At 39.9% G+C, this 15,081-nt stretch overlaps 1 protein-coding gene and 1 pseudogene across 9 annotated transcripts in view; both read right to left on the bottom strand.

The window, feature by feature from the left end:
• The window catches only part of FMN2 (formin 2), a 383,305-nt gene that overhangs the window by 290,002 nt on the left and 78,222 nt on the right, over positions 1 to 15,081 (bottom strand). For 6 of the 9 annotated variants that reach the window (NM_001305424.2, XM_017001837.2, XM_011544237.4 and 3 more), the window contains 2 exons: positions 7,118 to 7,265; positions 5,006 to 5,017 (listed from right to left, as the gene is read on the bottom strand). In NM_001305424.2, the coding sequence (NP_001292353.1) occupies positions 5,006 to 5,017; positions 7,118 to 7,265 (160 nt within the window). The remainder of the gene's footprint in view (positions 1 to 5,005; positions 5,018 to 7,117; positions 7,266 to 15,081) is intronic. The other 3 variants (NM_020066.5, NM_001348094.2, XM_047425620.1) reach the window with 1 other exon arrangement.
• ADH5P3 (ADH5 pseudogene 3) lies at positions 13,656 to 15,043 on the bottom strand (annotated as a pseudogene).

The raw sequence follows: 15,081 nt of genomic DNA, 5'->3' as shown, positions 1-15,081 counted from the left end.
GAGAAGGGGAAAGGTGTAGGAGGGAGAAAGAGAAGGGGAAGGTATAGGAGGGAGAAAGAGAAGGGGGAAGGTATAGGAGGGAGAAAGAGAAGGGGGAAGGTATAGGAGGGAGAAAGAGAAGGGGAAGGTATAGGAGGGAGAAAGAGAAGGGGGAAGGTATAGGAGGGAGAAAGAGAAGGGGAAGGTATAGGAGGGAGAAAGAGAAGGGGAAGGTATAGGAGGGAGAAAGAGAAGGGGAAGGTATAGGAGGGAGAAAGTAAAGGGAACATGAAAAATGGCGAAAGTGTCCTTTAGGGAGCGGAGAGAAATTGATGTACCAGTAATGGCTGAAGAGTGGAGTCACTAGATAGGTGAATCTGAGATATCAGCCTAGTTCCAACTTTCATAGAGCTCCCTAAATGAAAGTGATCACTCCCGGAACTCCCGACTCCCACGTTCCCAACACTCTCCTCCTCCCAGGATCCAGGGCACTTTCAGGAATTGCCTTAAACCCAGCTCTAGGACAGACTGATCATCTCCATCGAATATTCATCACTAGAATGGTTATTATTTTCAAAGACTAACCTGGTGAGAGAGCTCTCAAGGGTACATTTAAAATGGCCACCTCCTTCACCCATCCTTAAAATTAAGAAACCAGAATGTTCTTAAAAAAAAAAAAAAAAAAAAAACAGGCCGGGCGCAATGGCTCACATCTGTAATCCCAGCACTTCGGGAGGCCGAGGCGGGCAGATCACAAGGTCAGGCCAATACGGTGAAACCCCGTCTCTACTAAAAATACAAAAATGAGCCGGCCTGGTGGTGGGCACCTGCAGTCCCAGCTACTCGGGAGGCTGACGCAGGAGAATCGCTTGAACCCGGGAGGCGGAGCTTGCAGTGAGCCGAGATCGCGCCACTGCACTCCAGCCTGGGCGACAGAGCAAGTCTCAAAAAAAAAAAAAAAAAAAAAAAAGGTTAAATATTCCATTTTAAAAAGTTACCTCAAAATTCCGAGCATAATCTAAAATTCTGGACTCCCTATGGACTCCAAATGTTTCAGGACTGACCTCTTTACCATCACAAAATAAGCCTTTCACTCACGAAACAAAACATACTTGGATGAGCTGTGTATTTACAGAGAGAAGACAGTAAGACAATGAGCGGGATATGCCTCTCAGCTAAGAATGGAAAATAAACCTCCCTTTAAAATATACATACAAAATATGCCTTCTAAAAATGAATGAAGTAGTCTCTAAACAGACATTTTAAGTTAAAATGCAGCTATATAAAATTATTATATTATAGCTTCTTTAATGGTATATACCAGTTTGATTCAAATCCAGTCAATTTAACTGAAACAGAATTCATTAAACTTCATTTAAATAGCATGACTTATGATTGGCTGCCTAATAAATGCAAGATGTTTTTAATTCTGATATACCATGTCTTTCCACAAATGAAGATGAGGTTAAATACCTGAATTTTCCTAAATGAGGCCAATTCCATGATCTGCTTATTTGATTATTTAATAGTACTGAGGCTCTGCCTCTCATTGTCAACAAAATACAGCCACACCTAGGCTCTAGTTAGCGCAGGAGAAAATCAAGGCCAATTTTATGAAAACTATATGTAGGCATGTGTGTGTGTATATATACATGTATGTATACACATACATGCATGCACATACTATGTAATATATAATATTCAATATATTATCTAATTCAATATATAATATATATTCAATTTATATATATTATATTATATAATCATAACCTAATCATATAATATATATATTATATTATATATTTACATGTTGAAAATATGTAATTATTTTTGGGAGACACAGTCAGTCTATTCCAGTACATTTTATTCCTTGATTAAGTGAGGGGCTCAGAGAGATAGAATACTACCAAGTCTCCCCTGGTCCCTTATAGAATTTCTGCATTATCTCAACCGAACTTATGTTAAAACATTTGAACAAAACACAGAAATGGACCAGGCATGGTGGCTCATGTCTGTAATCCCAGCACTTTGGGAGGCCAAGGTGGGAGGATCACTTAAGCCCAGAGTTCAACACCAGCCTGAGCTACATGACAAAACCTCATATCTACAAAAAATTTTAAAAATTAGCTGGGAGTGGTAGCTCACACCTGTAATCCCAGCACTTTGGGAGGCTGAGGTGGAAGGATCACTTGAGCTCGGGTGACGAAGGCTACAGTGAGCCGGGATCATGCCACCATACACCAGCCTGGGTGACAGAGTTAAACCCTGTCTCAAAAAAAAAAAAAAAGAAAAGAAAAGAAATGAGTTGTATTGACATTGCACGGCACAGAATTTCTTCTCTTAGGAACCATTAGAGACACTTCTTTGGGATATTAGTTGTGCTTCTGTGAGTGACTGTGTTTTCAATCTCATGGACACTGAGGAAGACACTCACATTCCCCTTTCTGCTTTGCACCTGAGGGCTAAATTTCCAATTACCTTTAAAAATGGCAGATCCTTATGAGATACATTTCACTTGGCTGTCTTATCTCAGCTTCATTTTATTGTTCCATCCTAAATTCCTTTTCGTTTGATCTATATTCCTTTATGATCCTTTTGTACATTTTACATATTTATAAGCTGCTCAAATCTTTTTTTGGAACAAAGGTGAATTACAATGTATTCAGCCAGTGCACAACTGCATTTTAAAGGATTTTCACATGAAAATCTTCTGCCATGGTTCTTTGTTTCTTTCTTTTCTTTTATTCCTTGCAGTAGGAAGTCAGCTACCATATTTCTACCAGATCCTCTTCCATATATTTTCTTCTAGGATTTTCTGTGCCTTGATTGCCTTTCTAAAAAGTCAGTTCTCTGTTTCCTCTCAGCCATTCACATTTTCAAAGAAAGGGAAGGGATTTAATTTTCCACAGAGGAAACGACAATGATCAAGTCCCTATTCACATCTACACACCTTGCTCCTGCTCCAGGTTCTCCATGAATTTGAAAACTCAAGTTAATTATTTGATGTTGTTCAAATCTATTGAATGACCTTTGAAACTTGGTATTGAGCCCCTAAATTGGTCCAAGAACTGTTTTAGCCCATACAAAACTCTCCCTCAAATCTTGCATTAATGTGCTAAGTAGATGTTTATTTAGATCTTTTCCAGCAAAAGAATTTCATCATTCACTCAAATATTTAAGTACATACTATGTGCCAGAAAGTCTTGAAATTCTGAAAGCTGATGGGGAAGACATGTATATGTATAAACAGAAAAATTCAATACGTAAAGCATTCAGATGACAGAGAGATGAATAGGATGTCATGGGACTCCAGAAAAGGGTCCATGAGTGGGAAACAGCCATGGATGGGTGGGAGACTGCTGTGTATAGCCAAGGGAAACTGAGGGAGAAGATAAAGAGAAAATGATAAATAGAAAGGGTTTCTTTGTATCAATGTTTTTGCCACCAACTGGTTTGGGTTTTTTATTTGTTTAATGCCACCAACATGGGAAGCACATTACTTCCTTTTTTCCCAGCCAGTCTTATCCTTCAGGGGTGTTCTGCAGACTTCAAAAGGTCAATGTTAACACTTTAGGCCCATCTGTGGAGACAATGCCAACTGCAGAGGGAGCCAGGATGAGAACAAAGGACTGCCAGGAATCTGCAACTCACTGGTGAGAAGAGGCACCAAGACCTCACCATGGCCTCAGCCCTTCCAATTCATACAAAGAAGGGTCAGTTCCTTCACCAATCCATAAAGGAGGAAAACACCATCTTTCACAGAACAGATCGTGAAAAAGTTAAAGTGAGATGCTCCCTATGCAGTTAAAGTGAGATACATGAAAAAGGCAGAAGACAGAGTACCACAAATCTGAACTAGCTGGACATGTGAATTGGGTAACCAATTTTAAGAGCTGGAAAAAAGGCCCAGTGCAGTGGCTCACGCCTGTAATCCCAGCACTTTGGGAGGCCGAGGGGAGTGGATCACCTGAGGTCAGGAGTTCAAGACCAGCTGGGCCAACATGGTGAAACCCCGTTTCTACAAAAATACAAAAATTAGCTGGGCATGATGGTGGGTGCCTGTAATCCCATCCCTTTGGGAGGCTGAGGAGGGAAAATCACTTGAACCCGGGAGACGGTGGTTGCAGTGAGCAGAGATCATGCCATTGCACTCCAGCCTGGGCGACAGAGTGAGACTCCAAAAACAAACAAACAACAACAAAAAATGAGCTGAAAAAAACAACGAACGAAGCACGCAGGAAAAAAAAAAGTCCTCAATTTTCTAAGCTAGACCTGCAAGTCTTTCTTCTTCAGAAAATGTCACTGAACTCTTTCACTTTGAATTAAAATAGAAAGGGGTCACCCGGGCACAGTGGCTCATGCCTGTAATCCCAGCACTTTGGGAGGCAGAGGCGGGCAGATCACTTGAGGTCAGGAATTCGAGAGCAGCTTAGCTAACATGGTGAAACCCTGTCTCTACTAAAAATACAAAAATTAGCTTGGCATGGTGTTGGGCGCATGTAATCCCAGCTACTCCGGAGGCTGAGGCAGGAGAATCACTTGAACTCAGGAGGCGGAGGTTGCAGTGAGCCGAGATGGCGCCATTACACTGTAGCCTGGGTGACAGAGTAAGAATCCATTAAAAAAAAAAAAAAAAAAAAGGGGTCATGTGTTATATACAGTGGATTTAACCAAGATGTCACTACAGAAGAATGTGCACCTATCAGTTAACTACAAATAGATCATTACTATTAATAATTATATTATCAAACTTTGTGATTGATGTAAAACATGAGACTGTAGGCAAAGGTTACCTATGATACTGACATGCCCACTCTTACAACTGACTGATTAGAAGAGAGTGTGGTATGGTTCTGGGAACGAGGCTGTCTCATGGAAGTGTCTCTCCAAATTTACGTCAGGGAGTCACAACAGAAGAAGTTTAGAAAGACCCATTAGATCACTCTGATGAAAAAATGCTATATGACTGCTGGGGTTTATAGATCAACAAGAGAAAAATAAGTCACTAAGTTAAATTACTTCTTACCTCCATCATCCTCTTCAAGAATGCATTTTTAAAAAGGAGACAAGTTATTTCATTAAAAATCACTTGCTCTAGCATTTTGCAAGCTACATCAAATCATGAAGCAAAAACCAGGTGACAAACTTCCTGGTATCAATTCCAACTATCATCTTTTACCAAACTAAAATTCAGGTTATCACATTCAATTAACTTCGAGTCAAGTGCTCCACCAGTATATATACCAGCAACATAAAATGTTTCATAATGTTTTATAAAGTTCCCTAAAATTTAAGAATATCATATAAATGTTTCAGTTAGAAAAGTTGAGAATGATACAGTAGGGAACAGAAAACATGAAAATATCACCCAATCAATGATGCAAAACATGGGATAAAAGGGCTCTCCATGCAACTGATTAATTCAACTATATCTACCCCTAAGTATTTTGTATCAATAAATGTTATCATAAATAGAGTAGTGTAGAAAATGGGATCAATACTTTTAATTGTGTGTTTTCCTTTGAAAACGAAAAGTCCTTTTACTTGCTTGATTTTCAGGTGCTATCATGTTAGAGGTCTCTGATCTCTGAAGATCTTTGCTTAAAGGAAGTCTGCCTTGGCCTTTGAGAAACTGCTCTCTGTAAGTGTTACGATAAACTCAGTAACCTGGAACAACACTTCCTGGAACAACACTTCCTACACCCTCTCTCTCATTTGTTGTTCATTTCAGGGAGTACAGCCCACCTAGTGAATATCAAACAGTGTTTCAAAAGCACTGGACATCTCAAAAGGGAGATTCAAGGTCAAGTGTGGGCCCTCATTTCAGTGCATCAGTGGAAAGAAAAAAGGCGCAAATTCATTCCTCCAGAGACTGGGATGCAAATGGGAGGCAAGTGCAGAACTTTGGGTGGGGGACTGGAATAAAACCTTTTACATTGTTGGTCATTGTCGGTTGAAAGGGACCTCATGAATAAGGCAATGACATGAAACAATGATAATAATTGTAATAAATAATATTAAATACACGGAGCTAGGCACTGCATTCTACATTCTAATGCTTCATATAAATGCCTATAATTCTCATAACAGCCCTACACAGTACATGCTATGCTCATCACCATTTTACAGATGAGAAAACTGAATACAGTTGTTAGGAAATTTGCCTAAGATTACAAAGCTAATAAGTTGGCAGAGCCCAAGCTCCATGCTTTTAAGTTATGCTCTTCTACTATGCATCCAAAATAAGTTTCTAATGACTGTCTTCCTCTCTATGAGCCAATGAGAAAAAAAAAATCAAAATTCTTAACTCTAATATCTATGTTACCATTTAGGAAAATCGGGTGGAGGAGAAATCTATGAATAGCAATGATGTTCTTCTATTTACTCCTCACTCATGCTTCAGAAATCAATATTTATGCCTGGTCAGTCCACCAGGAGGAAGTTGGGAATTTATTACAACAAAATGAAGAAAAGCCCAGGTGCGGTGGCTCATGCCTGTAATTCCAGCACTTTAGGAGACCGAGGTAGGAGAACTGCTTGAGCCCAGGAGTCTGGATCAGCCTAGGCAACAGAGTGAGACTCTGGCTCTACAAAAAAATTAGCTGGACGTGGTGGTGTATGGCTGGAGTCCCAGCTACTTGGTAGGCTCAGTTGGGAGAATCGCTTGAGCCAGGGAAGTTGAGACTGCAGCGAGTCATGCTCCACTGCACTCTAGCCTGGGTGACAGAGAAAGACCTTGTCCAGAAAAAAAAAAAAAAAGAAGAAGAAGAAGAAGGGGGGAAAAAAGGACAAAACAACCATATTCCATAAAGCATTGATTGTTACACAAATATGGTTCTCAGTTCTGTATGACAAATATAAAGTGTTTTCTTAAAACCAGGCTTGGGGTCATCATCCTGCTGAACTCCTCCAAATAAACCTGAGGCTGATCTCACGCTATCTTCCCAGCCAATAACACAAAATAAGACAACAAAAGGAACAAAGAGAGAAAAGACCCCAAAGTAAAAACTTTTTGAAGATTATATCTGAATGCCATGCAATTAAAAATAAAAGATTACTTAAAACTAAGATTTAATAAAACTTCTCTCTCTCTATCTTGCCTCTTCCAGTTATCTCTGAAGACAAAGGAAAGGGTTACCTGTTTCAGCATCCTCGAGCCTGTGTTCCTCATCGGGAGGTTTGGATGGTGGCCCCATGGATGGAACTCGCCTAGGAAACTGCCCTTCTGAATAGTCCAATGAGTGTGTGGGTTGACTAACTGCAGCCCAGGTATAAAGTTGATCTTGCTATATTTAAAAATAAAAAATGTTGAAATGCTATTAATTCAGTTACAAAAAAATAAGCCATGACTAATACATTGCAAAATCATTTCTATGTAAATTACTTATATATGCATACATATATGAAACATTAAAACAGCATTTTTATACTATTCAGTGTAGATTCCTAAGATACACATTTTTTTCACGCAGTCATTTTATCTTTATAACCACATTTGCCTCAACTTCATTTCTATAGTAAAACCTACGCCTCTTTCTTTGGAGGGAGAGATGCTATGTAGCCCTGCAGGGAATTATAAAATCAGATAGTCCAGACAGTCAATCAGAGAACTCCCTGAACTAGCATCTTTAATTCATCTGAATATGATATCCCTTTTAAAATTGTTTATATACTTGTGGGAATGTCAAAGGACAGGCTGTACTTGGGCACCACAGGACAATAATAGCTCCCGTGCCTTCAACCACAAAAGGCCCAGGAAACCGACTTATCTGGGGTCCAGGTTGGAAACTGGGAGAGAAACCATGAAACAGTGAATGAACCTGCTAAGAAAAAAAAAAAAAAAAAGAATTGAATAGGGATCTTCTGGCCAAGAAAGACCTCGCCAGCTACAGACCAACAGAATCTGGACAGAATGAGAAAGCAGCTAGTACTATACCTAGGGCCAGGAGACAAACTACAAATCTCACAGGGAAGCCTGCTCCATGGCCTATAAACACCTTGGAAAACTGCTCATTAGGATTTCAGAATAACAATGTGTTCAACCATTTTAGGATGCATATGCTCAATATATGCATGCCCTATATTTGTGACATTTTTCTTAACTGGTTGTATTTCCCTAATACCTTTGATCCACATCAAGTAAAGCAAAGAGAAGAACAGTATGGTGGAAGTGAAAAACAAAAAACCACTGTAATCACTGGGTCGAGACTACAAAGTAAATGAGTTATCGGATGGATGTTGCTATTTCTGTATTTAACAAATTAAGAAATTCATAAAATAATCTCCAGCATGAACAGGAAGATACAATGTATAGACCAGTTAGTTTAAGCTTTACATTTAGGGACAGTCATTGGTCCTAACTGAGAATTCAGATTCCTGGGGTTAGCCTCAGCGTTGGATCAGAAAGGACCACATTTCAGACCTGGCTAAGCATTTGAGCTACTCATGTATCTTCCAGCTATCCTATCTCGACCAACACCAGAAACTGCGCTATTTAGCATACTGAATATCAGAAATAGTTTTTCATTGGTGAAATTAGTGGCTTTAATTAACATAATGAATGTTAGACAATGAGCTATCATTGGAGAACCTGAAGGAATTCAATGTAAGTAGATTGAGTACAACATCAGAGAACATCCCCACACTTAAAAAGGATAAAACTCAGGCAAGGGATGATGTCAAGGTGTGACAGCCGGAGAGTGCTACCTCCCACCTCTAGTTTAGGAGGATGTCTCTTTGCCTGTTGCCAACAGTCGGTCACAGAATCCTATTCCTTGGTGTTTGTATCACATGGACCTTTCACACAAGGTGAGGTCAAGCACCTACCAGAGTGGCAAGCTGGCCACGCTCTGACTCTCAAGTCAGCTTGGATAGGCTCTTGTGCAAACTAATGTTGTATGTTTAATAAATGTTTACATGTTGGGCAAAACTTCATTTGAGATTTGCTTTCATTAAAACCCAGTAAATTCTTACCCCATATACAAAAATTCAAAATGGAACAAAGACTGAAACATAAGACCTAAAACTACAAAACTCTTAGACGAAAACATACAGGAAAAACTTGGTAACACTGTTTTTGGCAATGAGTTCTTGAATATGACAACAAAAGCACAAGGAACAAAAATTTTTTTAAAAATCAATGAACTGAACTATATCATAATTTAAAACTTCCGTGCATCAAAGGACACAATCAGAGTGAAAAGGCAACCTACAAAATGGGAGGAAGTATTTGCAAATCAACCCTGATAAGGATTTAACATCCTGAATATAGAAAGAACTCCTAACAAGTCAACAACAAAAAGCAAATAACCTGATTTTAAAATGGGCAAAGGACTTGAATAGACATTGTTTCAAAGAAGATACACAAAATAGTCAACAAGCACATGAAAAGATGCTCAATATCACTAATCATTATGGAAACGCAAATCAAAACCACAATGAAATCACCTCACACCCAAGAGAATGGCTATTTAAAAAACAAACAAACAACAACAACAACAAAATAAAGCACCAGCCTGGGCAACATGGCAAAACCTCATCTCTACAAAAATATAAAAATTAGCCAGGTATAGTGGCACACACCTGTAGTCCTAGCTACTTGGGAGGATCACTTGAGCCCCGGAAGTCAAGGCTGCAGTGAGCCATGATCACGCCACTACACTCCAGCTCAGCAAAAGAGCAAGGCCCTATCCAAAACAACAACAACAAGATAGAACATAAGTGCTGGCAAGGATTGGAGAAATTGAAAGCATTGTGTACTATTAGTGATACCGTAAAATGATACTGTTGCTATGGAAAATATATGGCAGTTCCTCAAAAAATTAAAAATAGAATTACTATATGATCCAGCAATTACACTTCTGGATATATATGCCACAGAATTAAAAACAGGATCTCAAAGAAACATCTGTACACCTATGTTCATAACAGCATGTTCACAACAGCCGAAAGGTGGAAGCAACCCAAGTGACCATCCATGAATGAACAGATAAACAAAATGTGATATATATACAAACTGGGAAATTATTTAGCCTTTAAATAGAAGGAAACTCTGATACATGCTACCACATGGATGAACCTGGAGGACATTTGGCTAAATGAAATAAGCCTGCTACAAACAGACGAATACCGTATGATTCTACCCATATGAGGTACATAACATTGTCAAATTCATATTGTCAGAAAGTCAAATGGTGGTTGCCCGGATTGGAGAGATGGGGGATAGGAAGTTGTTGCAATGTAACGGGTACAGACTTTCAGTTTTGCAAGAAGAAAAAATTCTGGAGGTTGATTGCACAACAATGTGAATATACATAACAACACTGAATTGGACACTTAAAATGGTTAAGGTGGTAAATTAATGTTCTGTGTATTTTGCAACAGTTAAAATTTTTTTAATAATTTTTTTAAAAACAGTAAATGCAAGGCTGTTGGGGATAGCTAAGATGCACTTATTCAAGAGCAGCACATGATAAAATTGACAAGTCAGTTCTTAAGAGGTAACATGGATACTGTGATGGCTTAAGAAAACAACTGAACTGTAGCCAGGCATGTGGCTCCCGCCTATAATCCCAGCACTTTGGGAGGCAAAGTCAGGTAAATTGCTTGAGCCCAGGAGCTCAAGACCAGCCTGGGCAACACAGTGAGACCCCACCTCTACAGAATATTTAAAAATTTTTAAAAAATTAGCCAGGGATGGTGGCACACACTTTTATTCCTAGCTACTCAGGAGGCTGAAGTGAAAGGATCACTTGAGCCTGGGAGTTTGAGGCTGTAATGAATGATGACTATGCTTCTGCACTCTAGCCTGGACAACAGAGCAAGACCTTGTCTCAAAAAAACAGAAAGAAAAGAAGTTTCTGAAATGTAATGCCCTCTCCACTCTATCCTTCACCGCCCTCCAGTTAGTGGTAATGATACCTATTTTAGCTACAGTTAGCTACAGTTCTTCTACACAGCCCCAGAAAACAGCCTATCTTAAATCTTTGCAGCCATTGCCCTCCTAATATTTTCCAGAGTAGCAGAACCAAATTGGCCACAACAGCATGCTTCTAAGCCTGAGCTTCGGTTCCTCATGTGTAAAATATGCTATCTATAGCATGCTTAGAAAAATGCTTGGCCTACCAGCTCCTCTGGGAGTTGGTGGAGAGAAGCAGGGCTGGAGTGACTGAGAGGCTCCAGACCTGGCATCATGATCAACCACAAAAAGACTTTTGCCTAGAGAGCCATCATCCTACTAACAGCCTCAGACATAGTTTTTTCCATATAAAAGAGGTAGCACCAACAACCAAGGGGATAAACTATCTCACTGAGTTTCATCATTCACCAAAATACAAAGCATGCTAAAAGCACTCTATAAAACCTCATATAAACAAACAAAAGTATCTGGTCAGTCCCCCTGTCTTTGAACCACACCTCAGAACTGTAATGTATTACTGGGCTGTAACAGTAATCTCAAAGCCTCCCATTCATCACGTAGCTCCACTAGCAGAAAATAAGCAAAACAGATTTCTTCCATGGTTCCTCCGTGTCTGCAGAATCAAATCCCAACTCTTCAACTTAAATATCATTTCAACGTTCCTATATTCCCACCATCTTCCTTCCCAGATTCATTTCTTGTTTCCTAAACCAAGCTTCATGCCACTAGAATGCCTTCTCCAGCTCTACCCACTCAAGGAGTCTAATCAATCATTAAAAAATCTAGTTGAAGTCCCATTTCACCTGAATCAGACCCACCTCTGCTGAAAGGCCACTCCTGAATGGGACAGCTAACTCAGCACACCTGTCACCCCACATTTCAACACTTAATGGTGTACTATCCAAAACAGTGGCTTGTCCCCTAGTCCTGAGTGTATATCATGTTTCCTCAAATTGACTGCAAACGACTTCAGGATGAGAAGGGTGGACACAGGTCTTGTAAATCTCCCCTAGCTCTGGACAGTGCTATGATGACTACATAAAAGCCACTTGAGGCCGGGCGTGGTGGCTCACACCTGTAATCCCAGCACTTTGGGAGGCCAAGCCGGGCAGATCACCTGAGATCAGGAGTTCGAGACCAGCCTGGCCAACATGTTGAAACCCCTTTTCTACTAAAAATACAAAAATTAGCTGAGCGTGGTGGCAGGCGCCTGTAGTCCCAGCTACTCGGAAAGCTGAGGCGGGAGAATTGTTTGAACCTGGGAGGCAGAGGTTGCAGTGAGCCAAGATCAGGCCACTGTGCTCCAGCCTGGACGACAGAGCAAGACTCCATCTAAAAAAAAACAAAAAACAAAAAACAAAAAAAAGGGCCACTGGCTGCCTACTGAATTAACACATTTATCAAGTAAAAATAAATAAAAGAGATGGCTGGTCAATATAGGCAGAGGCTGTAGCTGCTAATCTCATTTTCTTCATTTGTTTACCAAGGAACCAAAAGGAAACTTTGTGGGTATCATATGGAAAAAGGAAGGTATCAGGTTATCTGGTATGTCTAAACCTATTGGTAATTAACTATTTAAAGAAAAAACATGGAATAGATAAAATTCCTAAGATATATTCATTGCTCCCCCCTAAGCAAACCTCATCACCTTTTGGAGCCTCAATATTCTCATCAGTAAATCAGGAAAAATGTGTCCCTTGTCTTTTTGGGGGAGCTTGCATGAGGGAAGAGTAAATGATATGTGAAAAGAACTATGAAAATTACATGGTGATATTCAAATGTAATATGCCATGAATACTATTTGTTTTGAATTTTAAAAATCTATGTTTGATTACAATAGTCACACTTTATTTCTTTAAAAAAATCCTTTTCAGAGGAATTGAAAATCATTATCTCACCTACACATCATCTCTACTTAACCAGCACTAAATCTTTCTGTGCTCTTTGCATGACTATAAGTAGTTGAGCAAACTGAGTTTTCTTGGCATTTGTGCTGTTTGTCAACCAGTTTTGCATTCAATTAACAATTGCCCTGTGATATTTCCTCAACCATCCATAAATGTCTTTTTCTGTGTGTGTGTGTGTGTATGTGTATGTGTAATATTTCACAAATGTGTTATTTTCCCGAATAGGGTATATGAGTTTCTAGCTACCAGTTACCAAATCCTACATTCCCTTGTTTTCTCAGGAATGTCAAGTATAAATAATCAACATACTGTGAGTATTAAGGACAAGGTCAGGATGGATAAGAATTGTTTAACAGAGCAAATCACAGTTTTATTTTTGGGTTAAAGCAGGGATGCATTTTCATGACTCCACTCCACATCCTTAAATTCTTCAGATCTGTTTTGGCTTTTGCGGAATGACATTGTATCTTCCTATTAAAGAAAACAAACTTTCTACCATAGGCATATGAGAAACTTTAAAAACACAACCTAAAAGTGGCGTAAAGTAGGCTACAGGCCTGCTAGCTTAAGAAAGAGAAAAGTTACTTTTAGCAGCTATTTCCCCATCTTTTCACTAGGTTATAAATAACAACACCTAAAATAACTCAGAGCTATAATCCACAAATAATTTATCATAGTGTGTCCACCAGAAAATAACAATGCTCAAAGGTAGGCATTCTAAGAGTGCTTCGCTGAGATTTTTACAGGTAAGATGAGGGTTTGGTTCCCACCTTAAAATATTTCAGATCAACATTTTTTCTGGTTCTTCCATATGCAAGAAAATTTCATTGTCCAATAGTCTGTATTTTTTTTGTAGAAATTACTTTTATTATGTTAAAATATTCCTTAATGAGCTAGCAATTATTTATGTGGAGGAGAGTCCAGTCCATGACTGAATTATCCTTGCCTTGATTACAGAGATTCATGAATGACGCACATCACACCATTCTCTGGAGTAGCTGCTGAAGGTCTAGGAGGCGCTTCTCTCTGCCTGTTAGGCTGCTCCCATCACATCACGACAGGATGGACGCTGGTTTTCTCTTTTGAATTAAATCTTCACAACAGTTCGAATGCTTTTTCCAGAATGCAACAGTTCAAAGGCTTTGTTAATTTCATCAAAAGACAGATTGTGAGTCACAAATTCATCAACTTTTATCTTTTTAGACACATATTCAGATACCAACTTTGGGACACTTTCTACACTCTTTCACCCTCCAAAGGCAGTGCCTTTCCATGTGCGACCTGTTACCAGCTGGAATGGATGAGTGGCAATTTCTTGACCTGAAGCAGCTACTCCAACCACCACACTGACGCCCCAGCCCTGCTGACATGCCTCAAGTGCTGCTCTCACGACCTTGACATTCCTAATACATTCAAAGGAGTAGTCCACTCCTCCATCAGTCCGCTCAATGAGCACTTCCTGGATGGGTTGACTAAAATCCTGACGGTTCATACATTCAGTGGCTCCAAACTCTTTAGCCCTTGGAAATTTATCTTGATGGATGTCCACACCAATGATCCGGGATGCACCAGCCACTTTACCGCCCACGATAACTGTCAATCCAACTCCTCCCAGGCCAAAGACGGCCCAAACAGAGCCAGGCCCCACCTTGACAGTGTTCACAGCAGCACCATAACCAGCTGAAATGCCACAACCTAGAAGGCAGACTTTATCCAAAGGTGCTAAAGAATCTATTTTAGCAACAGAGATATCAGCCACAACTGTGCATTCAGAAAATGTGCTGGTTCCCATGTAATGTAAAATTGTCTTTCCTTTGCAAGTAAATCTGCTGGTACCATCTGGCACTAATCCTTTCCCTTGAGTGACTCTTATATTCTGGCAAGGTTAGTTTTAGGATTTAGACAAAATTTGCATTCTCCACACTGTGGGATGTAAAATGGGATGACAGTTATCACCCGCCTTCAGCTTAGCAACTCCCTCACCAACACTTCCCACAATTCCAGCACCTTCATGTCCCAAGATCACTGGAAAACAACCCTCAGGATCAGCTCTGCTCAGGGTATAGGCATTGGTATGGCAAACTGCAGTGGCAATGATCTTGATTCAAACTTCACGAGCCTTTAGGGGTGCCACCTCTATCTCCTCTACGGAGAGAGGCTTTCCAGCCTCCCAGGCAACTGCAGCCTTGCACTTGATAACCTGGTTCACCATGTCCACGGGTTCTGGTCGGCGCCAGGGATGGACTGTATATTAATGCAGAACCTAGATTATTACTG

This window comes from Homo sapiens, chromosome 1, assembly GCF_000001405.40.
Source record: "Homo sapiens chromosome 1, GRCh38.p14 Primary Assembly".
NCBI classification, from domain to species: Eukaryota; Metazoa; Chordata; class Mammalia; order Primates; family Hominidae; genus Homo; species Homo sapiens.
This window is presented reverse-complemented; position numbering and strand designations above follow the sequence as displayed.